Raw genomic sequence first — 26,762 nt, 5'->3', positions numbered from 1 at the left:
GTTGCAAATAGAGAATACTGGTGGTTAAAATAAGTGTTTCAAAACTTGTCTGAAATATATAGAATCTTTGATATGACAATAGGTTTCACTTTCACTGTTGACCACTTGAGTACTTTTATTGTCATATTTATGTTGTTCTTTTTACAGAAATATATGTTATTGTTGTACACAGCCCAAAAAAAGGTATTAAGAAAAAATTTCAAAGCATTCATAATCTCACAACTAGAAAATAAACTATTTTTAATCTTTGCGTCATATCTTCACCACACACACACACTCACACACACTTAAGTATCCTCTGTTCCTAGATGGCCATAGAACAGTGGTTCTCAACTTTAGCTTACATGAGAATTACATTGAGGCCTTACAAATTCCTGGGTTGCACCACCAGTTTCTGAACCTCCTGATTTGGGGTGGGGCTAGAGATTTGCATTTTCAACAAGATTCCAGGTGATGCTGGCACTGCTTGTCTTGGAGTTCACACTTTGAGAACCACTGCCTTAGAGGGAAAAAAAAATGAAAATAAGCATATTTGGACATTAGCTAAAAGGTGGGATATTCTTTGTATCCCTTCACTGTTTGTTGCTTTAGGAGGGTTTTCACATGTACTTTTAAAAAATGGTCTATTCTTCATAGGACATTGAAAGGATATGGTTGCCTTTTTAGCTCATTAACAGATCAAATCGGAAGTGGAATGACACCTATAGCAGCATTATGTACACTGGAGAATGAATGTGTTTTCCTTCAATCATTCCATTGACAAGTGCTTTATTCAGCAGTCAATCACTAAAACTTTTGTTTTAGTTTCTGGTGAATTAAAACAGCCTAACAATTTTACACACACACACACACACACACACACACACACACACACGTTTTATATAGGACAATAAATAATATATCTAGGTTGAAAAAAATGGTGAGACATTGTATATGTTCTGGGTTTTTGATCTGCCATGAATTTCCAGTACACTTCCAATATGACTCATATAGTACACTGGTGGTCAGAGTGTTCATAGGCTGCTAAGACAGGTGAACTCACTCCAGTGAGATGCTGAACAGTGAGAAAGATTACAACTACTTGTGATTGAATCTAATTAAAATTATTGTCTTCCCCTGATGACAATCCCAAATTATTCTTTTAGATCTATGCACTTTCTATTAAAAATGGTAAGACTGGGAATTACTTTCTTCCTCCCATGTGTGCTACGTTTTAAAAATTGAACATTGTCATCTCTTAAAACTTTCCAAATCTTTTGTATATTTTGAATGCTAGTAGATATAAAGGCTTAAAACAGGACATTTTCTATGTATGCATTTTCAGACTTTGAAGATAAATGACAAGACAAATGGTCTTTTCACTTTTCATCTAGACATAATATTATGTTCAGGAAAATTTAAATCAGTCACTAATTATATATAAATATGTAATTATTGATGTAATATTTAATATATTAAACACATATTTTATATATATATTTATATTTATATGTGTTTGAGCCAACAGCATCTTAAAAGTATTTTCTTAAGTTCTACTTGAACTAAAAAGTCAAGATCAGTGTTGGGATCAATCTTTTTCACTTTATGGATCTGGAAACTCTAAATAGAACTGGGAATAAGGTATTGAATAATGCTGACCAATGCACTAAGAAAACAGTCTTATTGACTGTTCATTTTATTAATGAAACTGAGAAATAATCCAAGCTAGGAAGGTAAATATGCTACATAGTTATATCTTTTTACATGACTTTTAAGGAAATCTCCTATAATGGAGCAATGTGGGGAATATAATAACAACTGAAGGACTGTATGCAACAACATAATAGAATATTCTGAGTAATGGTAAATACGACTTTTGAAGTCCTTTGAATACTTTTGATAACCTTCAGAACACAACTTTAGAAAGAAAATTAAAGTTTGTGATGCATAAATTAAACCAGCAGAAATTCTTTTTTTATTATTATTATACTTTAAGTTTTAGAAATTCTTAAAGTGACAATCATATTTGGTAAAGCCATAATATGAATAACTACCCAGACAGTTTTCATGCTATTAAAATGTAACAAAATTGAAAAATAATAGCAAATAAAAATTAAATTGAGAAACAAGTTTATTAATATCAGTACTCCTTGCCATTTGCCCTCCAGTAACAACGCTTCCACTCCCAAATATCTAGTTTTTCCTTCAGGAAAATTTAAATAAAAGGTGTACAAGTCATCAAGCGCCACGTGCGATGGCTCACACCTGTAATCCCAGCATTTTGGGAGACTGAGGCAGGCAGATCGCCTGTAGTCAGGAGTTCAAGACCAGCCTGGCCAAAATGGCGAAACCCTATCTCTACAAAAAATACAAAAAAAAACTAGCCAGGCTCAGTGACGCACACCTGTAGTCCCAGCTACTCAGGAGGCTGAGACAGGAGAATCACTTGAACCAAGGAAGCGGAGGTTGCAGTGAGCCAAGATCATGCCACTGCACTTCAGCCTGGGCAACAGAGCAAGACTCTGTCTCAAAAAAAAAAAAAAAAAAAAAAAAGAAAAAGGTGTAAAAGTTATGAAAGTTATAAGGCAAAGCATAATAAATATAGCATGCCTACACCAACATATTAATTTTTGTAGTAGTTGACTGTGCTTATTTTGAAGAACAACAGATTCTGTTTGAAATTTATTAGCTGCCTAATACTCTCAAGTGATTTTTATAGCAATTTATTTTGTAGTTTTAAACAGAGATAGAAAATTTTGGACACAACCTTACTAATAGGGGAAGGACTTCTGAGAATGTCCCATGAAATGCTGTGTCCATTCATTACATGTCCTCTTGCAGCATGAATCACAGGCATCATTTAGAAGCCAAGGGAAAACAAAACAAGCTTCTAATTACTAATTATGTTAGAATTAAACCCAAGTTAAGTAAGATAACTCGTGTGATTAAAAATAAAATAGATTTTACTTCACTTTTCTCTGTTAGGCAGCCCCAGCTATCTATCTGACCACAGTAATCAGGCTCTGTTCTGTAAGACATCTACTACTGGATATCTGCTTTACAAAAGAATGCTGGACAGTGCATTCATTTCCTATTGCTCTGCAACATATTGCCTCAAATGTCGTGGCTTCAAACAGCACAAATTTATTATGTTACAGTTCCGGAAGCAGAAGTCTACAGCTGGTCTGATGAGGCTAAACTCAAGTGCTGTGTTACATCTGGGGACCTGCAGGAGAAACCTCTTCCTTGCCTTGTCCAGTTTCTAGGTGCTGCTGGCATCCCTTGGATCCAAGTTCCATCACTCTGACCTCTGCTGCCATCCTTACATCTTTCATGCTGACCCTCCAGCCTTCCTCCTAAAATGATCCTCCTGATTACATTGGGCCCACCTGAATAATCCAAATACTCTGTCTATCTCAAGATCCTTAATTTAACCAGTTTGGAAAAACCCATTTGCATTGTAATATAACATATTCCTGGAATTAGGATGTGGACATATTTCAGAGGCCATTATTTTGCCTACTATAGGCAATAATGAAAATGTTTATATAATGATAATATTTAGTCTCTGCAGTGGATTGAATGGTAGTCCCCAAAAAGATACATCCATGTCAAATCCCTCAAACCTGGGAATGTTATCTTGATTGGAAGAAAGGATTTTAGCAGATGACATTAAGGACCTTGAGAAGAGGAGGCCATCCTTGATTATCCAAATCCAATGGCATGTGTGTATATATAAGAGACACACAGATGAGACACATGCAGAAGAAGGAGAAAGTGTGTAGATGGAGGCAGAGATTGGAGTGAAGTGGTCACAAGCCAAGGAATGCCAGGGTTTACGGGCAGCTATCCGAAGCTAAGAGAGAGGTAAAGAATGGATTTGTTCCCCTAGCTTCTGCCAAGGCTTTGATTTGTGGCTTCTGGCCTCCACTACTGAATAAGAATACATCTCTAGTTTCAAGCCACCTAGCCTTTGGTAATTTGTTACAGTAGCCAAATGAAAGCAATATAGTCTCTAAATTTCAAAGTTCAGAAATATCCTTCAAAGGCTAAGGACTTTTTAAAGGAGATTAAAATAAATAACTTTTGATAGTTATCTATTTCATAAACTGTAACTGTATAATCTTAAAGACCTTAACATGCTAAGACATGTCTTTAAAAAAATACACAGAACTTTCATCTCTAGAGACATGATTTGTCATTTATGATATTTGGCTTGTCTTCTGTGATAACAATTGAAAGATAAATGCTTGGTCTCTGATATGAAATGTTTTAGAAGTTGAATGATTTTCTATAGCATTAAAAAGAGTTGACTGTAGTTCTGCTATTGATGATTTAAGCAAAGTAAATTTATAAATATCTTGTGTTTGTATTGGTTGAATTCAAATGATTTTTAAGAGAAGGGATAGAGTGGATATGACATCATTTATCCTAGGTGAAAAATACAAAACTTTTTTAAAAATTCACATGAAATGTGTCTTTAAAAGAATACTTAATAAGGGAGGTAGGTGATTATTTATTGGTGTTGGTATTTGTTTCTCAGTCTTTACAAATTTTCTTGGAGAGATGCTAGATAAAAAAGTAACATTCAAATATAAATACCTGGGCTTCACTAAAACTTTCCAGGGAAACAACCATATACTTACAAATGTCCTAAAATATTATAGAAATACAAATATGGAACAGATTTTTCTTAGGTTTTGAGATTCATAGTACTTATACTTCATGGGTTGGTTTGTTCTGTTTCTCATAATTTCTCTTGCAGCGTTAAAAAAATTCTATTCAAGCTTTTGAAAATGTTTAAATTGCTTTCAAATGAAAATAGTGGCATGGTGAAAATGATTGAGAAAACCATACACAAAGACTTTAAAACAGAATGGTCTACAGTTAACAGAGAAGTGAAGGGATTAGGACTGTTATCTGTATACTCCCAGGTTTTTGTTGTTGTTGTTTGGTTTTGGTTTTTTTTGTGGGGGACGGAGTCTTGCTCTGTCGCCCAGGCTGGAGTGCAATGGCGTGATCTCAGCCCACTGCAATCTCCGCCTCCCAGGTTCAAGTGATTCTCCTGCCTCAGCCTCCCAAGTAGCTGGGATTACAGGTGTGTGCCACCACAGCCAGCTAATTTCACACCCAGCTAATTTTTGTATTTTTAGTAGAGATGGGGTTTCACCATGTTGGCCAGGCTGGTCTTGAACTCCTGATCTCAGTTGATTCACCGTCTCAGCCTCCCAAAATGCTGGGATTCTAGGTGTCAGCCACCATGCCCAGTCCTACTCCTAGTTTTTGATGTCATAGTGTAGCACATTTTATCTTTGGTTGAGTTCATTTTTAAAAAGTTTATTTTTAATAATTTAATTCTTAATGTGATAGAGAAAGTGGCAAAACTTTAGCTATGGACAATGAAAATAAAGTAATCCTGGCTATGTCACTCACCATGAGATCTTGTTCATGTCTCGGTGTGTTTGTACAATTAATTTAGTAATATTTTTAAAAACCTTGAACCTTAGATTTATTCAACTAATATACATTTAGAATATCAGGTCTATTAAGGTTTGTTAATTTTTGATCACCATTTGGTCTAGAGTCTTGAACTCTACCTAACATCAATATAATTGCTTAACAAAAATAGATATGAATGACATCTCTAAGCTATTTATTAGTAATATTTCCCTCTGGAATTAAGACATCTTTTAAGTAAAGATCATATTTTAGTATCTTGAAGCATATTTTAATCTAAATTTTTCTAGTGACATGGTTTATAATACAGTATTTTGTGATTCAGTCCTTTGCTTGTAATTCTTATATTCTGATTGACTGTAAGACAAAACTGATTTTATGTAGCATTTCTAGTGGAGAAATTGTTAGTCATACCTTGTAAATGTCTAACTGTCTTACTTGGACTGGGTTTTTTTTAACTGCCATTTTTTGATAATTATATTGATTTTACACAGATGAATGTGTTTAGTTGCAAACTGCTGGTGGAAAGATGTTTATATTAAGTACAAAAACATCTAAATTAAATAGTATTTTTTATTTTAACTTTCACAAATGACATATTAGGTTAAAATATGGGTAATGAGTATGAGCCATCAGAAATTTTTAGGCATTATATCTAATGGCTTGACTTCTTTGTTTTCTCTATATTGACTTTGCCTCTTATTCTTATATTCCATATATTACCCACTAGTTATGTAAAATATGCTTTTTTCCAGTAAATAAAAAAACTCCAAATTTTTATGTCTAATTTAAATATATTTAACTTTGATAATTAAAAATTAAAACAATCTATTATTTTTAAAATATTTGATTTGCCTGGGTACAGTGGCTCAAGCCTGTAATCCCAGTGTTTTGGGAGGCTGAGGCAGGAGGATTGCTTGAGGCTGGGAGTTTGAGACCAGGTTGGGCAACATAATGAAAACCTCTCTCTACAAAACTGAGAAGCTGAGCGGGGAAGACGGCTTGAGCCCAGGAATTGAAGGCTGCAGTAAGCTATGATTATGCCACTGCACTCCAGCCTGGGTGACAGAGCAAGATCCTATCTCAAAAAAAATTTTTTTAATTAACCTTATTTTTGGAAAACATAATTGGAAATATGTTTTTGCCTTAGAGTGTTAAATATAGATGTCACCAAAACACCCTCTCATGACAAGATAGCTTCCAGATTTTCACTGTGGAGATTAAATCAAAAACTGTGCAAGTTGAGCATAAGAAATTTTAGTGCAACTTTAAATAATATATATCTCACCCTTTTATGCAGTTTCAAAACTGACAGTTTTTCTCCTTCCATTATGACAAATTTATATTTTATTTTTTATCTAGGTTCTTTCACTGTGAAATACAAGCTTCTAAATTTACGTATTCTCAAGTCCATAGGTTTAAGTGCATTTGCTGACTACATGTTTTATGATTCTACATAGCAGTTTGTGCTTTAACTATAATATTTTTAAAAATATCATTGTATTTGGAGTGACAAGGAAATGAAGAAATATTATATCTGAAAAAAAAAGAAAGAAACAGAATGTCTGAAATTACAAAAGGAATAGACCAAAAGTATACAAGAAAGAGATTGCTCAAGCACTAAACAGAATGGGATGAAACAGATGAAATAGAACACTAGCAAGGAGAAACTCCAGTGTCCTGTGCCTGCCTCAGTAAATAGATGATTCTGGAGACAGGGCACCAGATAAGAGTGTGTTGCCAGTAATATTCCCCAGGGCTGTTTTTAGTAAGTCCAGAGCTAGCACATTGGCACTTAAGCCAGGTATCTGATACTCTACAGCCGTATTTCTCAAACTTGGACCTCCATCTGATTCATGTAATGGGATGCTTAAAATGCAGTTTGCTGAGCCCTATCTTCACAGTTACTTATTCAGTAGATCTGGGGCAGGACTTGAGAATCTGCATTTCTGAAGTCTTTGTGGGTGATGCTGATTATGCTTTTACATGTCTCAAAGGCAGTACGTTGAGAACCACTACTCTGTGTCATTCTCAGTCTTGTACCTCTCCTGGTGTGTTTGTCTTAGGAGATGTTGTCAGTGGCCAGCAGCCCCTGAATCAAGGGTATAGAGCAGGAACACAGTACACTCTCAGGGTCATTTCTCATCAATGCATTTCACTCCACAGTCTGGTAGGGTTTGGAAATGGCCCAGGTGCCCACAATAATACAATAAACCCCATCCATCACCCTGGAATCCTCCATTCAGGGTGGGCCACGAGGGAGACTGTTGGGAATGGATGTTCTTGGTAAACCTAACAGAAGAGACAAACTGAGCAGGCAGAGTGGACTTTAAATTCCTTCATGTAGAGGGGTGATTAGGAGGAGAACAAATGGCAATACTAGTTTCCAACCCTTTGAATGAGAACTTTTTTGCTTATCTGTGGTGGCAGGTATCACGAAAATGTTGCACAGACCTTTTGTTTAGCTCATCAGCTATCATTAGTGTTAGTGTATTTTATGTGTGGCCCAAGACAATTCTTCTTCTTCAGATGTGGCCCAGGGAAGCCAAATGGTTGAACACTGTTTGTCTTCTCTGGGCCACAGTATATGAACACCTCCATATGCTATACGGGAATGGGCAGTAGGCACAAGTAAGAGACAGGGAGATAAATATTGAGAAGAAGATGAGGACCACTACTTTTTTTGCACAAAGTAATAAATGGTGGTGTACCCAAAATTCATGTGGAGAAAACTAAGAAGAGAGGTAAGTGATCTACAGTGTTAGATGTTACAGAGAGGTCCAGTAAGATGAAGGGTAAAAAGCCTTTGTTTGGCAATAAAAGAACTAACTTTGGGAAGAGTTTGGTGAAGTGGTCTTGGTAGAAGCAAGGTGGTTTTGGGCTTAGGAATGAATGAGAGGAGGTGTAAGGAAAGAGTTTTTCAATGTGCTTGAGTATTCGGGGAAAAAGTGAGAAGGTCTATCTAAACAATTTTGCAATTTATGCATGGAAAAGAAGCTTGAACAATTTTATCTGCTGAAAGCAAAGATCTAGTAAAGAGAGAGTTTGAAGAACAAGAAGGAAAGAGGTAATTAATTATTGGAGAGGAAGGTGATAATTGATTCTGCAAGTTCTTTTGGGAAGTGAGAGAGGCCCAGTGTCCAGAGCACCAAGGGAGCTATTAAACGTCTAATGCTGTTTCAAAGGTCTTCCTCTGACTGTTGTCACAAGTGTATGGTAATTTATTTTGATAATTTCGTTATACCTCTTCTATAATGGGAAACCAAAGTTTGAAGAAGTTTAGGAGAATTTATTTTCTTCTCAACTTTTTCAGATCTTTGCTATTTATCATCACTCTATTTTTGTCCACTTCTATAAATGAATAATTGGTTACCAATTAAGAAATTTTCCAGGCTGTGCATGGTGGCTCACGCCTGTAACCCCAGCACTTTCGGAGGCCGAGGTGAGTGGATCTCCTGAGGTCAGGAGCTCAAGACCAGCCTGGCCAACACGGTGGAACCCTGTCTCTACTAAAAATACAAAAATTAGCTGGGCGTGGTGGCAGGCGCCTGTAATCCCAGCTACCTGGGAGGCTGAGGCAGGAGAATTGCTTGAACCCGGGAACCAGAGGTTGCAGTGAGCCGAGATCATGCCATTGCACTTCAGCCTGGGCGACAGAGTGAGACTCCATCTCCAAAAAAAAAAAAAGAAAATTTCCAACAATCTTTTCCCCAACAACCTTTTAGGTGGCTTATTTTTTTTTCTGTAATATAAAAAAGTAGTTTTTTTCTGTAATATAAGAAAGTAGTCTTGGCAATACAACTAAGTACAGAAGAAATCAGTTCGACTTGATTGTGTATGTGTGTGTGTTTTTGGTATCCTGTATTTGTCAAAGCAAATTAGTATCTGTTGACACATATGAGGCAAAATAAAGTACTAATACTTGATTTTGAGTCAAATCTTACTACTATTGTTCATAAATACTTTATTGGAAACCTTTATAACATATCTCCTTTTAAGCTTAATTTTCCCTTCTAAAATATCAATCAATCAGTCAATCAATTCTCCTCACCCAATTGTCTATTCTATTGCTGGTCCATAATGGTCCGAGCCATTCATCACCAGGACACGTCCTGGCTGTACTTTGCAGTATGATGGTAAAGTTGCCAGAAGAAGAGAGAGGGGGAATACATAGGCCCAGGCACAGGGCAGGTTTCTTTGGTTTTGTTTTCTACCAGCAACAGTATGAGATTTTGTGAGTAGGGAAAAGTGAGGGGTGGAAGAGGAACCAGAGGCTGAAATGGAAGTTGAAGTAGGGTTGAAATGCCTGGAACAGATAAAATAAAATTAAACAGATTTTGCTGGTGTTACTGCGTATGTGGTTTTCTAAAAGGATAAGTTGTGTGCTAATTAGGACTTGATTGTAAGGATAAAAGGCTGGCACACTTAGGTGAGCTCAGGTATAGTGGGCCTGAGAAGAAGACCATTGTCTATTTTAAGGATTTTTTTTTTTTGTATTGCAGGGGTTGGAAATTCATAGGTATATAAGCTTATCAATATGTTGGCAATGAACTTTTTTTGTTTGTTTTTTTGACAGAGTTTGACTCTTGTTGCCCAGGCTAGAGTGCAATAGCATGATATCGGCTCACTGAAACCTCTGCCTCCTGGGGTCAAGCAATTATCCTGCCTCAGCCTCCCAAGTAGCCAGGATTTCAGGTGTGCACCATCACGCCCAGCTATTTTTTTGTATTTTTAGTAGAGACGGGGTTTTGCCAAGTTGGCCAGGCTGGTCTCGAACTCCTGACCTCAGGTGATCCACCCACCTTGGCCTCCCAAAGTGCTGGGATTACATGTGTGAGCCACAGCGCCCGGCCTACAATGAACTTATTGTGAGGTCTTCACAGACTTGTCCAGTCAGACTGTGGACTGACTGACCTTACCGTAGGTGTCAAACATTGTGCTTGATGTAGGGTTAGGAGTTAAGAGTTTGGGCAGACTGTTGCCTCTTTTAATCCAATAACAATTTTCACTCTTTTCTTTTTTAAGCTGGGTGTATAGTAACCTAGAATAAGTATATATTTTCAAGCCTCTGTTGTGGTTAGGTGTATTTTGTACCTGTTATTGCCAATAGGATATGAGTAAAAATAAAGTGTGTAACTTCTGGATTGTGCTCTTGAAGAGAAAGGAGGTCATGCCCTCCATTTCCCTTTTCCTTTCTTCCTTGCAACTGTAAATCGGAAATAATAATTGTGGGATCATCTTAGAACATGAAATGAAGCCAAGATGTTGAAGGTGATAGAGCAATCAGAAACAGCATCAGTCACCAACACTGTCAAACTGAACTACTATTTCTGCATCCTCTGAGTGATCTCCTACATGAAAGAAAGAAATGGAGGGTTTTTAATTTTTATTTATTTATTTTTTTGAGACGGAGTCTCCCTCTGCTGCCGGGGCTGGAGTCCAGTGGCGCGATCTTGGCTCATTGCAAGCTCCGCCTCCCGGGTTCACGCCATTCTCCTCCCTCAGCCTCCCGAGTAGCTTGGGACTACAGGCGCCCGCCAACACGCCCGGCGAATTTTTTTATATTTTTAGTAGAGACAGGGTTTCGCCGTGTTAGCCAGGATGGTCTCAATCTCCTGACCTCATGATCCGCCCGCTTCAGCCTCCCAAAGTGCTGGGATTACAGGCGTGAGCCACCGCGCCCGGCCGGGGGTGTTTTTTTTTTTTAAGCACCGTTTTATTTTTGTCTTTTGTTTCAGCAATCTGAGTCCTAACTAATATACTTGTTAAGATCTCTAATCAAGGTATTCAATAAACGTTTACAGAGTGCTATATGCCTGGCACTTTTCTAGATTCTACCAAGAGTGAACAGCAGTCCTCTACCCCAGCCAAAAAATAAAAATAAATAAAAATAAATAAATAAATAAATAAATAAATAAATAAATAAAAAATCTCTGTGCTCATACAAAGAACCTTCTAATGGAGGAGCTACCCCATAAGAAGGATAAATACATGGAAATATATAATTTCTTAATTAGTACTATGGAAAAAATATAGTAAGCAAGGGACGAAACTAAATTTTAAGTGATAAGTAAACTTTAAGATAGCATGACAAGAAAAGACTTCACTAAGATAGTGACTTTAGAATTAAACACTGAAATAAGCAAGGAAAGCAGCCATGCAGATATTGGGCCGAGGGAGGACATTCAAGCAGAGGCCCAATGAGAGCCAAGACCGCAAGACCTTATTGTGCTATAGCAAGGGGAGAATACAATTGGAGGTAAGTGAAGGAGAAGACAGTTTTAAAAGATGAGGTCAGTGTGATAAAGGGACCGTATATTTAGAGTCATGGTAAGTATTATGGCTATTCCACAGAGGAACTGTGAAGACAATTGAGGGCTTCTATCTGATGACATAATTCAATTTATGTTTCAAAAGAGGCATTCAGTTTAATTTGTAGAAAATCAACTGAAAGTCTCAAGAAAAAAAAAAGATAAGGCAAACTTAATAGAAAGCTGTTGCATCATTTAGATGAGAGACGATGGTAAATGGGTTACGCTGTTGACAGGATATATTTTGAAGGTACAGCTGACCAAATGGAGGGTGTGGGGGAGAAAAGGGCATCAAAGATTTCATTAAAGATGTGGCATGAGGAACTAGAAGAACAGACTTTCTGTTAACTGAGATGAAAATATCTGACTGCATGAAAACCTGATGCTGGCTGTGGGGAACAAGAAATAAGAGGGGTTTTAGACATTCTGAATGTGAGGTTCCTATTAGATATCTGAGTGGAGATATTGAATAGAGATGATAGACATCTCTGAAGTGTAGGGGAGAATCTGAGTTGGAGAAATAATTTAAGAAGTCTCAGCATCTAGACTATATTTTAATCATAAGACCAGATGAAGTCCCTGGGGAGTGACAGGTTAAAAAGAAAACAAATTCAAGGACTAGTCTGTAGCCTTGGGCCATTCAACATTCACAGGTCAGGAACATTAGGAGGAAGCAACAAAAGATAATAGGTGGGAGGAATATATGGGGGTGGTATCCAGAATTCTTAGTGAAGAAAACATACCATTAAGAATGTCTTTTTGGGGCAGGGCGTGGTGGCTCAGGCCTGTAATCCCAGCACTTTGGGAGGCCGAGGCAGGCAGATCACGAGGTCAGGAGTTCGAGACCAGCCTGGCCAACATGGTGAAACCCTGTCTGTACTAAAAATACAAAAAATTAGCCAGGCGTGGCAGTATGCACCTGTAGTCCCAGCTACTTGGGAGGCTGAGGCAGGAGAATTTCTTGAACCTGGGAGGGTGGGAGGTTGCAGCAAGTGGAGATAGCACCATTGCACTCCAGCCTGGGTAACAGAGGAAGACTCAGTCTTAAAAAAAAAAAAAAAAAAAAAGAAAAGAAATGTCTTGTTGGAGCTGTCTTTTCTGGGCTCAGGGAAAAGCAGAAAATATGACTGACTGAGTACTGTAGTCTGCAGACACGCCATGTGTTAATTGGACTGTCAATCTGGCAGAGAGTGGCAGAGGTGGGTGGAACAGTATACAGTCAAACCTAGAACCATGGAACATCTTGGTACAGACAGATAATGGCTATTGTAAACTATGACTGAATCCAGCCAGGAGTGTAGATTATCTGAATCGCTGCAGATCTACACATTTTAACCTTAGCACAACTACCAGTATATTTTATGCTTTTTAAAATAAATTTGCAGTGCCTAGTCTGGACAGCCCATGAAATAGAAAGCCACACCACCATCTTCAGGAGAAGAGCTGTGAAAGAGAATCTTAAGTTATAATACTTTTCCTTATAAAATGATGCTGGACTTCTAATGATATATAGCTACTGCTGATATCATTTATTTTTTATTATTAACTTATATATCATTCATATATAAAAATCATTTATAATAGGCTGCTTTGTATCATTGTATTGAAATATACTTTATCACTTTAAACATTATTCAACTTTTCTATGTTCTTGTAATTTTATTTGCCTCACTCAATGTTATGCTTCTTGAAGACTAAAATGATACTTTTTAACTTTCTTTATTCTGTCCTCTGCTTGTTCTACCTTTTTTTCCCCTTTCACAACACTAGTGTTACTGAGGACATGACGTTTAATTTTTTTAAATAATCTCTTTAGCTCTGAAAACTCTCCGTATTTTTTTTTATTTAATTATTTGGTAACATAGTGTTTAGTGCTAGTTACCGTTATTTTAAGGCTGGTACTACTATTATTTTGAATAAAAGATAAAGATGTTTGGTAAAGATTGCAAAGGTGGGTAAATTTTATTGAGTTGATTATTGTTCTTTAGCACCACTCATGTGAAAATATCGAAAATTTATTTTATAATTTAGTGTTCTCCAGAAGTTGTAAATGAGTTAGCAGTAATTATACATTTCATTAATATTCATATATCTCTTTACTATATTTACTTCCTCTTCAAATGGCAGCTCTAAGAAATGAAGGAAGAATAACGGATATGTATAAACATATGTCTGTGTTGTATTATATTCATCAGAATGGGTGATGACTTCACAAGTACAATGTGACAATGTTTTCACATTACATTCTAGTTGTATCATGTTCACTGAGGTATTGTAACCCTAAACGACTTTTCCTCTCTATCTATAGGGATGACAAAGGTAACTTATGGCCCTTTACAATTTTTATTGCATAGTGCAATATAATAGCAAAACAAATGTACAATTGAAAATTATTAATGGGAGGCTGAAGTGGGTGGATCACTTGAACTCAGGAGTTCTAGACCAGCTTGGGCAACATGGCAAAACCCCGTCTCCACAGATCAAAAATTAGCCAGGCATGGTGGCTCACGCCTGTCCCAGCTACTTGGCAGGCTGAGCTAGAAGGATTACTTGAGCCCAGGGAAGCCAAATCTGTAGGCTGCAGTGAGATGTGCTTGCACCACTGTATTCTAGACCCTGTCTCAAGAAAGAGAGAGAAAGAGAGAGAGAGAGAGAATGAGAAAAGAAAAAGACAACAAAAGAAAAAAGAAAAAAGAGAAGAGAAGAGAAAAGAAAAAAGAAAAGAAAGGAAAAGAAAAGAGGGAGGGAGGGATGGAGGAAGGAAGGGAGGGAGGCAGGGAGGGAAGGTTATTAATGAAAAACTTGAAATTATGGTTTGCCATGGGTAAATTCACAGGTTTCTTTTTGTATTTCTTTGCAGTTATCTGACATTATGTGAATGATTGTACATTTTATTCATGATTTTTATGTATGACACTTATAATAGTTTTATTAAATATAGTATTAATATGTTGAAATTACCTGAATTATTATTTCATAGGGGATGGCTTCTTAGTGCCCCCAAGCTGCGAGGAGGTTCAAAGCAATTATATTTTGACAAAAATGTTTGGAACAGCAGGCTATCACTGCTATGTGGTTGTTCTCTAAGGGTGAGGAAATGGGGAGCTAGTAGATGAACATGAATCCTACTGATAACATTTTTCCAAGATTAGAAATGAATAGTATAAAATTTTGTTATGCAGTCACATAATATGAGGGATTCTATCAGATAAAATTTTGCCTTCCACTATCTCTTTCAATATTTTCCTCTTATCTCTTCCTATTGCTTCCTATCACTTGATTTAGCTCCGAGGTAGGAAAATTAATCTCATCCACATTCACTTTTTTTTTTTTTGTTTGAAACCAGAGAAGAAATCTCTACATGAGGTACTAATGGATTCTGACATCTCTCATCTAATACTATAACACAAACCTCAAGGGAAAATACAATTGAATTGCTGACACGAAGAGAGATGAGAACTGGCTAAGAGAAATTTTTATGAGGAATTTATTATTGTTATCCATCCTCTGATCTGGAAAAATATGAGCCATGTCCAAGAAAAGAATAAACTTCTTTAACCTGGAGAAGTCCTGTGTGCTAAATGTCAATATCCTGGAACTGCTCTGATCATTTGCTTATGAATTTATATAAATTATATATTATTTAAATATATATTAGATTTAGGCATGGCTATCATTTTTTCATGATTGATTTTAAATAGATTTAAAAAAACACCCAGGTTAGATTGTTGAACTTTTCAGTGCTGTTGAATGGTTTCTGGGTCTGCAGAATAACTATCAAAATCCACTGAATGATAAGGAGTACTAGTAATCCAGTGGAGTTAGGCATTTTTTTATATTGAAAAAATAGACATTTGGTAATGATAAATGTAAGTGACTTAATCTTCATTCAAACTATGATGTTACCCAATGTTGGAATTGATTTAAATGGTAACATTGGGAAGAATAGATCTTTAATCTATAGGTTATAGATTTTAAAATAACCTTTCTAAAATGAATCTTTTATTTATGCAAAGATAACCATTTTTGATGTTTAAAAACTTTTTAAAAATGCACTTCTGTTAAAATGAATGAAGTTATAATCATGTAAAGTCATATTTCCTATTATATCAAAGGTTAATATTTGTTAAAATGTGCAGTTAGCAAATTCAGCCACAAATCCTAAATTCAAGGACAAACAAAAAAATCCTCTTCATTATTTCTTGACAATGTATGCTAACAGAAATTACTAACTATAATACTAAGTACAAACACTGAGTAATCGAATTATTTATTTTTCCAAAGCATTTTTATAATCAATGCTAGATTGTCAAGTCATTACTACTTTAACATGATAGCCAGAAGCATCAATATTGTTCTTGTTTACATGAATGGTCTTTAACATAAGTATTAATAATAACTATAATGTCTAAAATTATAATATCTAAAATTTCTACAACCTTACTATGTACCAGATATGGTGGTAGGTAATTTATATATATTAGTCCATTTAATCCTCACATCAACCCTCTAGGATAAAATACTGTCATTTCCACTTTATATATTAGAAAATTGAAACACAATGTTTTTAAATAACTTGTCCAAAGCTTCATAGCTAGAAAGTGATAGAGCAAGGATCTAAACTAAGAAACCCTGGATCCAGAGTCTAACTCGTCAACCACATAATTATTGTGCCTCTTGAAATTAGGTGTAATTTTGAAACTTGCATTTAATATACAAAGATATGTATGTGTACATTGTTTATGACCCTTATTTATAGAAACATAAAATCTACCATGTATGTAATTTAAGAGATACACTGCTTTAACATAAAATATTTCAGTGGAAGCGATTTACCCATTTTTAAATGTAGCTATTTTCATCAGAAAGGGGTTTATTCTTTTCTTTCTTTCTTTCCTTTTTTCTTTTTTGGTTGAAACCTTTGGGGCATTAGTAAGAAGAAAAACGATTATTTGACAGGACAGTAGTGATGATCACACAAGATCACATCCACATGTCTTCTGGGCTCAGTCAGGTAATGAAAATTGTTAAATATATGTTAACGTGAAATAGTGGGTAGCAGAGTACCCATTATGTTATAGACATAACGTTCTCTATTTAAATACTTCAAATGTGTTGTTTTTCTGATATGCATCAAACAAACAAGTCTATGACTGATGTCATCCCTCAGCCCTTCACTTGTGGTTTATTTTTGCTACATAATAATGCAAGTATTTCTCATGATGGTTTAAATGACTTCAACAGATGTTACTTTGGAGATGAGTATTTTGTTAAGAGATGATATAAACCTTTGTTATTCATTCTGAAAACTTTAGTAACCTGTTATTTATTGGCAGAACTTATTTTTAAGGGATATTATAATAAAAATCATCAAAAGATTTCTTTATAAGACTTGGGGATGTCAAATCCTAAAACATCTGCTCTCATATGTATTTATTGGGAATTATTTCATATCCTCACTCCATCCTTTCACCAAAGTATATATGATTACTCTCTGATCACACCCTCTATGTGAGAGATTGTTGAAATGCTGCTCTTCACCTCTCTTAGAGCCTACATTCCAACATAATCAATAGGAATTTTCTTTCTATTTAACTATAGAATTGCCATTACAGATTATTTTTGTTATTCTCCATAGTGAAAAGGAAATGGTGTTCCCCCCCCTCCCCCACCCCGCCTTCTAGTTCAGAACTTAAAATTGCAGTGAGCTAGCTTTTGTATATTACAGCTGTTGGTTCACCTTTCATGTACTTGGGAACATGATGAACTTCTTGATTCGGCCCAGATTTCTAGGCATGTAGATAAATTGGAAGGGCTGAGATTGGTCACTGAGAGAACAGTGAGAGTCTGAAATAATCAAAGTACAAGTAAGAAGGGCTTAAACCAGCAGCGGATAATAGTAGAAGGGGGGATGAAAATGGGAAAGTTGATATGGGTTACATGAAATCCCTTCTCATAGATTTGCTATTGACCCCTGAGTATTTAGGAAGAAAGTAACAAAATAGCCAAAAGAAGCCAGCATTTATGCTTCCTGATCAACAAATGCCAAGTTTTCTTTTTTTTCCTGTAGAAAAAATATAACATACTTGTAAAACAGGGCATAATGCCACTTTGATGAAGCTTCTTCAAGAATAACTGTACATGAAATATGAGCAATTTGTCTATTTAAGATTTAACTGAGATGGCAGCTGGTGTTGAGAAGGATTCATTGACATGAATTTTAAAGTTGAAAATGCTACATAAGCAATCATAAAATATAGACACAGTCAAAATAAATGAGACCATCTCTAAAGATATGAACTGTTCACAAGGACCTTCTGACTCTATAACGTCACTGCCTTTTAAAAAGATTAATATGGGTATTTCTAGGTATTATTAGGATGAATTTATTTAATTAAGAGTGAACTTTAGAGGTAGGCATTCTTTGAAATCTTATGGAGCAGTAACCGAAAGAAAAGTAAGGAAATAATTACACTGGATTTATAAGTGATTATGGAGCTCCTCTAGTAAGAAAGCACCTAAATAAGATGTGTGATTCTCATTATGTTCTATAAGCTATAAAATTACTTCCGGATCTAGGTTGTTTACTTTTTGGATTAATTATAATCATACACACATAGAAAGAAACATCACATTCAATACATTATTGCTTAGCAAAATTCAAACAGTCTGGCAAGTAGGAGAGGGTGTTATAATACTGAAAGAACTTTTCAAGCAGGAGATCAGAGCTCATATGTTGGTTTGACCAAAAGGATCTCATGCTTCTAATTATAGGTCACATAATCCTGCATACCAAACATTTTATGTAAAAGATTAGTAGAAACTGAGGAAGGTGCCATTTCCTCTCACTGTTTTTCTGCTGTGCTACCAAAGTGGAGTCAGAGTCATCCTAATTTGTATTTGTGCTGGGTTTCATGGCACAGTCTGTTGGGTCTTATTAAGCTTTGTTGCATTTTAGTCAGACTTTGTTCTCCTCTGTTTCAAAGATGCAGAATGAGACTAGGTCTTTCCCTGGAATGTGTGCATTGACTTCCAGAAATCTCTTTATTCCTTGCAGCCTAACCATCAGTTCTCAGGATAACTGGAGATTGCACTTTGCTCCCCAGAGCCTCCCTTGGATTTTCACCTTCTGGGAGAGCCCTTCCCACCCTGCTGCTCTGCCCCCAGACCTCAGTTGCTTGCTGTTTTGTACTTCCTGAAAGCCCAGGGCATGTTCTGTCCACAATCCGGCATCGACCCTGGCTTTGGGCAAGTTCTAGCCTATAACTCTTCATGAAGGTCTGTGTACTACGTGGGTGGGGGGTTCCCCTCACTTGATTGCTCTGCCTGAGCCAGCCTGTTGCAGCTTTCTGCTGCTCTGTGCACTCTAGGGCAGATCTCTCCTCACTCTTGCCCGGGACTCAGGCTTCCTCATATGGCCCCTAGGTGCTCAGTCAAGGTCCTGTGGAAAAGAATTGGTAGGCAGGTCAGAACACATTTTGTGACTAGGGCTCTTAAGAATTCTACTCCCTCATACCAGCCCACAAGTGGCAGTTTAAATTGTGTTACATATTGTGCTGATGTTCCTTTTCCTCTTTTTTAAATTTTTATGGATATGTAATAGTTTCACATATTTATGGGGTATATGTGATTTTTTGATACAAGCATACAATGTGTAATGATCAAATTTGGGTAATTGAAAGATCCATCATCTCAAACCTTCATCATTTCTTTGTGTTGGGAGCATTCCAGTTTTTCTCTTGCATTTACCATGGCCCCAGTGTTGAAGGCAACCATTGGTCATTTCTGTCCCAAGAAGCATTTGTCTATATCTGGAATTCAGTGCCTCTAATTTTCTCTATGGTGGGATATATATATATACATATACACAAAAGTATATATATATATATATATACACACACACACACAAAAGTATATATGTATATATACAAAAGTATATCTATATACAAAAGTATATATATAAAAGTATATATATACTTTTATATATATACATCTATATGTGTATTTATGTGTATATATACATATGTATATATACTATATGTGTGTATATATACATATGTATATATACTATATGTGTGTATATATACATATATACTATATACGTATATATACTATATGTGTGTATATATACATATATACTATATACGTATATATGTGTATATATATACGTATATAGTATATATGTATATATATACGTATATAGTATATATGTATATATATACAAAACTATATATGTATAAAAGTATATATACTCATATATATACTTTTATATATATATACATATACGTATATATATTTGTGTATATATATATATACACAAAAGTATATATATACAAAAGTGTGTATATATATACTTTTGTGTATATATATATTACAAAAGTGTATATATATATACTTTTGTGTATATATATTTACAAAAGTATATATATAACTTTTGTAATTTATTTGACTTGCTTTCATTTTTCATTTCAAAGAGGAAGCAATCATCTTTTGTAATTTTCTATATCTTAACTATAATTGGAGCTACACTTATTATGTTTCCAGGTTTTTGCCATTAAAATTAATATTGCAAGGAATTTTCTTCCTCATGCCTTTTGGGGTGTGTGTATGTGTCTGTACACATACAGATACCTCTTGGGTATTTTTATAGGAGTGAAATTTCTGGGACATAGAGCATGCATAAGTCATTTTATTTACATATATTTTGTACTCCATGAGATGTTATTAAAGCCTTAATATTTATTTAGGTTACCACATATTTTTCCTTTTCATTACTCTTTATTGCTTACTGAATTTTAGTGCTTTTCTCTGTTATCATATCCTCCTACCTGAAGAATTACTTTTAGTAATTGTTTCTGATGTGAGCCCACTGCTGATGAATTCTCTGTTTTAGTTTGTTTAGAGATATTTATTTTTCTTCTGCAATTTGAAGTGTATGGATACAGACTTCTGTTCTGGAAGCTATTTTCGTTCAGGACTTTAAAGATGTTTAAAATCATTAACTTCTGTTATTAACAACTTTCCCCTGTCTTCTGGCTTTCATAATTTGAGTTGAGAATAGTTAGCTCTTAATTTTCATTGTTGCCCCTTTGAAGGCAACCATCTCGTATTTCCCTACTTCCTAACAACTGCATTTTCCTTTTACCTTACATTTTCCCTTTACCTTATGCTTTATTGTGCCTGGTTAGTTTTTATATGTTTGTTTCTATTCCCCAACATGAAAATCATATTTCTTGAATCTATAGCACATTTCACTACTTTTAAAAATACCTCAACAATTATTTCAAGTATTACAGCAGTATTACTTTCTCCTTCTTTCTTTAATTATAATTATACATAAGTTACCCAGGACCAATATTTTATCTTATGCTTCAATTTTATTTTCATTTAAAATATTATTTTGGTGCTTCATTCTGGAAATTTTGTCCTGAAATATATTTCAATCAGATATTCTTCCTTGACTAATTCTTGTGTCATTTTTTTTTTTTTTCTGTACAAGGCCAGATAGCAAATATCTTTTACTTTGCGGGACATACAGCCTTGGTTCACAGCTAGACAACTCTACATTTAGCATAAAAGCCGCCACAGATAATATGTAACCAGATGGGCATAATTGTATTTCAAAGAAAAATATCTCTCAAAGCAAGGAATAGGCCAGATTTGGCTCATAAACTTCAGTCTCCCACTCTCTGGTTGAATCTAATCTGTTAGTTGTTCGCAATATCAAATATTATGTTTCCCGTAGCTATATAATCTTCTTATAGGCTCCAGTTCCCTGGTGAAATTTAACATATTTCCTGCTATTTTCTAAGCATATTATTTTAAATTATTTTAACATAGTATCTCATAATTTTCATGTGTGCATCTGATTCTATTGTTTTTTTTTCTCTTAGTCCTGTCTCTTGCTATGCCTGTTAACTTTCCATGAATGCTGGAGTCTTAGTATGAACACTGTAGCAACTCTGAATGAGACACTATCTTTAGCACATGGTTAACGTGGAAACATAGCACCTTACCACAACACGGGTTTGAGTCATATCAAGGCTGAGTTTTAGTACCCAAAAGACCTGGTCTGTTTCTTGTTCTGCATTACTCAGAGTTATTTATTTTCAGAAATCTCAAGTGAAAGTCTCAGGAATTTACTAGAAGCTCTATTCATTGCCAAGTCTTGTCTGTCACACTTTATCTCCCTGCCACTCTGTGACTGCTGAAAATTACATTTAAAGGCTCACTCCTCCATACTGGATTCCTCATAATTTTTTTCTGTACCTGCACTGCTTATAAATTTGTGAGAATTAGAGGAGACACGTGCAAGCCTTCTTATTTTTCCTTTCTTGAGGGAGCTCGTATATTTAATCTTGGCTGTCTTAGGATCCCTGAATTTCATCTCCCAGTCCTAAGAAATGGGAAGAAACTCTGTTCGGGTTCTCTGTCTCTTCACAGCCCTTCTACTTAGCTTATCAGCATCTTTTTCTCAACTTAGAAAAAGGTATTTTTACCTGTTACTGAGAAGTGGCATAGCTATTAGGTTTTCGTCCATGAGTCCCTCTTCTCCAGGATTTTGGCTCTTCAAGTACTGACTCACTTGCTAGCTCTCCGATGCCTTCAAATAGATGTGTATTTTCTCATTGTTTGTTTGTCGAATTGACCTCTCTCTCGTTTATTTTAGAGGAGAGTTTGGTCTGCTATAAGCTAGTCTGGTATTCCTGGAGCATGAACATTCACCTGTGACTTTTTAATCTCTTGAATACAATTAAAAAGGGAAGTTTTCCCCTCTTTCTCTCACTTTGCGCTGGTGATTTTCAGCTGGCTGTTTCAACTTTGTTCTCTGCATATTTCTTCTCTGCTCTGTGCCTCAGATGGTCCTATAACCTCCTTTAGCCACACTCCCTTCCTGAATGGCTTCTTATTGGGTTTAGAGAGTGGGAAGCAGCAAATGAAGGAGCAAAGCACTGCAGCTGAGAGAGGCTGAGACATTCATTCCCTCTCTTCATGGAAAAAGATACTCTTCACCTTTGTCCATAGCCCTTGTGCGGTGGGTGATCTTCCACAGATGCCGCTTCCTCTTGGTGTTGGTACCATTACATCCTGCTTCTTTCTTGTACCGTAGGCCTATGGGTAGGTAATGAGGTTTACTGCTGTTGCTTGAAACTTGGCATGTATCCTGCCTTTGGTTGTTCCTTTAATCCTGCCAACTTCTCCCTTAATAGACCCTTAGGTAAAGTTTTTATCAGTTAATCCTTTGAATGTGCCATCTATCTGCTCAGACACTGACTGAAACCCATTCTTATTCCTATTCTGATAATTAGATGGTGTTTTAAGGCTGAGTAGCTGGGATAGTTTTTTGCTGAAAACTGTGGCCTTTTTACTTATGCAAACTTGTGTTTAATTGAGAGCAAAACCTAAAAGATAGTTAATGGTAAAAAAAAAAAAATTGTAAGAAGAACCCTCCTGCCATGCCAAGTGCATACTCATATAAATGTATAATCATAAAGCACAGGATTAAAAAGCAAAATGTTAGGTTACTGTGTAGAAAAAGATTTATAGAGTTGTTCAATACGAATCTAAGTAGCAATGTACTTCAGAAATTAGTCAGTAATTAAAATGCAGTGGTTTGGACTAAAGTGAGATTAAAAAAGCTCAACTGGCTTTAGTTTGTCACTGGCATTGACTTTGAGTATTTTTCATACTACAACAATTGGCCTAAGATTTGCACTTCTTCTCTTGACATGTTGACCTTTTCACGTTGATTCTTTCTACCTGCTGCTAAGATACAAAATCAATATGATCAAGCAGGCAAATCACCTGATACTGAAATAGCCTGATGATAGGGGAGGAAATCTAGTTATCCAGCGTCCTTGGATATGCTTATACAAGTATACAGACAAGCACACAGGCCTACTTTCATGTAGTTCTTGGTTTACACTTAACACATCTAATATATATGATTTTTTTTTTTAAAAAAGAGCACTTTTGAACAGAGTCCTTGGAGCATATATTTTAGGGAAATTTTTGATGGGGTCTCTCCTTGATGACACCCCATGGTATTTCTATCTGTTTTCATTCTAAGGCAATTTTGTGAGGCTTCTTCCAAACCTCATTTCTTTCCTATTTCTGCGTTTCACCTGACATAGAACTATTTGAAACCAGGTCCATAATGGAACAATTTTAAAGCAGTAATACAAAGGAATGGTGAAGTCTTGATGTTTTCCTACCCTTTCCCATCTTTTCCACCTCCTGTTGGAGACATGACAATCTTTTGGAGACATGACAGCCCCCTCAATCCCTATGTTTTCCTGCAAGAGTCCTGGATCTTACTTAGGAAAAGAGTGAACCCATTGTTTCTTTCATATGGGAATGAAGTAGGTAGGCAGACCCTGACAAAATCCCTTAAACCATAACAAGTCAGTACCTATCTAGTCATAAATATGCTTTAATACACTATTTAAGCAATTTATATTTAAAAAACTGACAGGAGTTGCATACTTGTAACATTTTAGAAGAGTCATTTTTAGAACACTTTGCTCTATTTTTAAAGTGTTTATGGTTACTTACTGTTCTATCCTCTGTGAAAGACACTCCTCTAGGGGATTCATATGATTTAGACATTTTCAGCAAATTATATTGCACTCAGGTATTATGAGCTAATAGTTTTTAAGAGTGATAAAGCATATATATAGATTTAAGATGCTAGTATATTTCCTGTTGAATGTTTCACCAAACTAAAGCTTCTTAAAAGTTACTTCGAGGCTGGGGGTGTTGGCTCATGCCTGTAATCCCAGCACTTTGGGAGGCTGGGGCAGGAGGATTGCTTGAGCCCAGGAGTTCAAGACCAGCCTGGGAAACATAGTGACACCTCATCTCTACAAAAAATAGAAAAAAATCAGCCAGGCATGGTGGCTCACTCATGTAGTCCCAGCTACTTGGGAGGCTGAGGTGAGAGAATCACCTGAGCCTGAGAAATCAAGGCTGCAGTGAGTCGTGATTATGTCATTGCATTCCAGCCTGGGCAACAGTGCAAGACCTTGTCTCAAAAAAAAAAAAAGTGCTACTTTTAAGCTAGTGGCACTATCTTTTATAGTCTATTGTTATGAATTCAGTCATCAACTCTGGCAACAGGATGCTTTTCAAAATTTACAACCTGCTTTGGCCTTTGTCAGCAATCTTCCCATAACTCAACTATGATAATGACATTGCATATTCGCACATTAGGATGAATTAATGTTAACTAGAGATAAGCTGAGATATTTACTTTTAGTATCTGGTTAGAAATTAGTCCTAAAAATTTTTAATTGTTATTTTAAAAAATTAAGCAAGTATTATGTAGAATAATGTCTTTTAATAGTTTGTTTAGAGTGAATAGGTCAGATGGGGCTAATTGTGATCATCCTGTCAGTGAGGGCCTCATTCTGTTTGGCTGGGATTAGGTCTCATGAAAAAAAAAGTGATCACTGTGACTGTTCAAATTATGAAAACCTTTCTAGGATTGTGCTGCAATTGCAAAATATGTTCTTGAGTCCGCGGGCTTTGTTATCTATCTTAATGATCTTACTTGCATGTTTACATTTGGTATTTGCTTCAGTTAAGAAATTTCACCAGTTTTTAGTTGTGAATTTTTTTCCTCATTTAATAATTTCATATAAAGTATACATATAGGCTATATATACAAATATATAGTCTATACATCCACATTTGAAAATATGTCATTTATTTCAAAAAAGGGAAAATAAATAACACATCAATTATTTTATATTAAATTATATTTCTTTTTTTGGCCCTGTAAGTGTCCAGTAGCTTATTATCAAATAAAATATATTAGTATGTCATTCCAAAATATTGTGATAACTGTGTAGCAGATCCTTGATGATTATATTTTCAAAAAAATGAAAGAAAGTAAACAATAAAATCTCTCAACCAGTATAATAAATTATATGGTAGCATTGTTAGCACTGACACACTCATCTTCATTTTAGGAACATTCACTAGTGGTTACTAATCTTATGTTGAAAGGAATTTTTTTTAGAGATATTTAACTATATTATTAAAAGTTTCCTGGAATTTGGGGCTCTATTTTGGAATTTTTTCCCCCTTAAGTGTATTTATTCATTTATCCATAAAATGTTTATTACTTCCTTACTCATAATAGGGGTTCAATGGGTATTGTCTTATGGATAAATGATTAAATAGAACGCAAATGAAGGTGATATGCATACTTTCTTTGATGAATTCTTCCCTATCACCTTTTTGTTCTTTGGTTCATTGATCTTTCATTGATTAAGAATCTGTAATTTATCACCCCTGACACTGGATTTCATACTAATAAGTTCAGAGACAGGAATCATATAGATAAGAGGTGAGAATTCTTTCTGCAAGTGTGTATTTCTTAAAAAACGTAAAGACATTTTTGTACCCAGACCCCTCCATCACCTAAAAAGAAATGTACATATGGTGGTGAGAGTTTATTTATTTCTTTTTCTTTCTTTCCTCTGAGAAATAGAGAAAAAGAGGCCATAACCTGAGGAAAGATGGGAGAGGAGATATTTCTGCTTCAAGAAAGAAAGATGTGGAATACTCTTGGGGGAATGGGGGAAAGTGAATGCATTATAGGACAAAGGGTGTTGGGTACCATTAAGCTCCCACTTGAGATGAGAGATCACAAACGATGTCAAAGCTTTCTTGCCTGAGTGCTTCCCTCCAACTACATGCAACTTTGTGATTTCAGACCCCAAGGAGGGTTAGATGTGGCTTAAAGAATTATGCTTTACCCAAGCAAATACCCTAGAGAGAGGAAGGCATCAGGGAGTTGTGTGTTTACAAGTCTAAAAGAAATGTAAGTTCAGGCTAGTAAGGCTAGAAAGTAAGAAATGGAGTTCAGGCTAGTAAGACGAGAAAGGAGGACATGGGCGTGGGGTGGTAAGGAACATAGAAAATGCAGTAGAAAGATATGATTTTATGATGGAGTATACTATTTGGTTTATTTTCTTTTTTCTGAATGGAAGCTTTCATTGCTCCTTC

General features: G+C 35.7%; 1 protein-coding gene across 12 annotated transcripts in view; it reads left to right on the top strand.

The window, feature by feature from the left end:
* Positions 1 to 26,762, top strand: part of SPOCK3 (SPARC (osteonectin), cwcv and kazal like domains proteoglycan 3) — a 501,562-nt gene that overhangs the window by 98,391 nt on the left and 376,409 nt on the right. The window contains exon 3 of one of the 12 annotated variants that reach the window (NM_001204352.2): positions 16,681 to 16,761. The exons of the other annotated variants lie outside the window; for them this stretch is intronic. Within the exon in view, the coding sequence (NP_001191281.1) occupies positions 16,717 to 16,761 (45 nt within the window). The 5' untranslated portion in view covers positions 16,681 to 16,716. The remainder of the gene's footprint in view (positions 1 to 16,680; positions 16,762 to 26,762) is intronic. 12 annotated transcript variants of the gene reach the window in all.

The sequence above is a fragment of the Homo sapiens genome, chromosome 4 (assembly GCF_000001405.40).
Source record: "Homo sapiens chromosome 4, GRCh38.p14 Primary Assembly".
NCBI lineage: Eukaryota > Metazoa > Chordata > Mammalia > Primates > Hominidae > Homo > Homo sapiens.
This window is presented reverse-complemented; position numbering and strand designations above follow the sequence as displayed.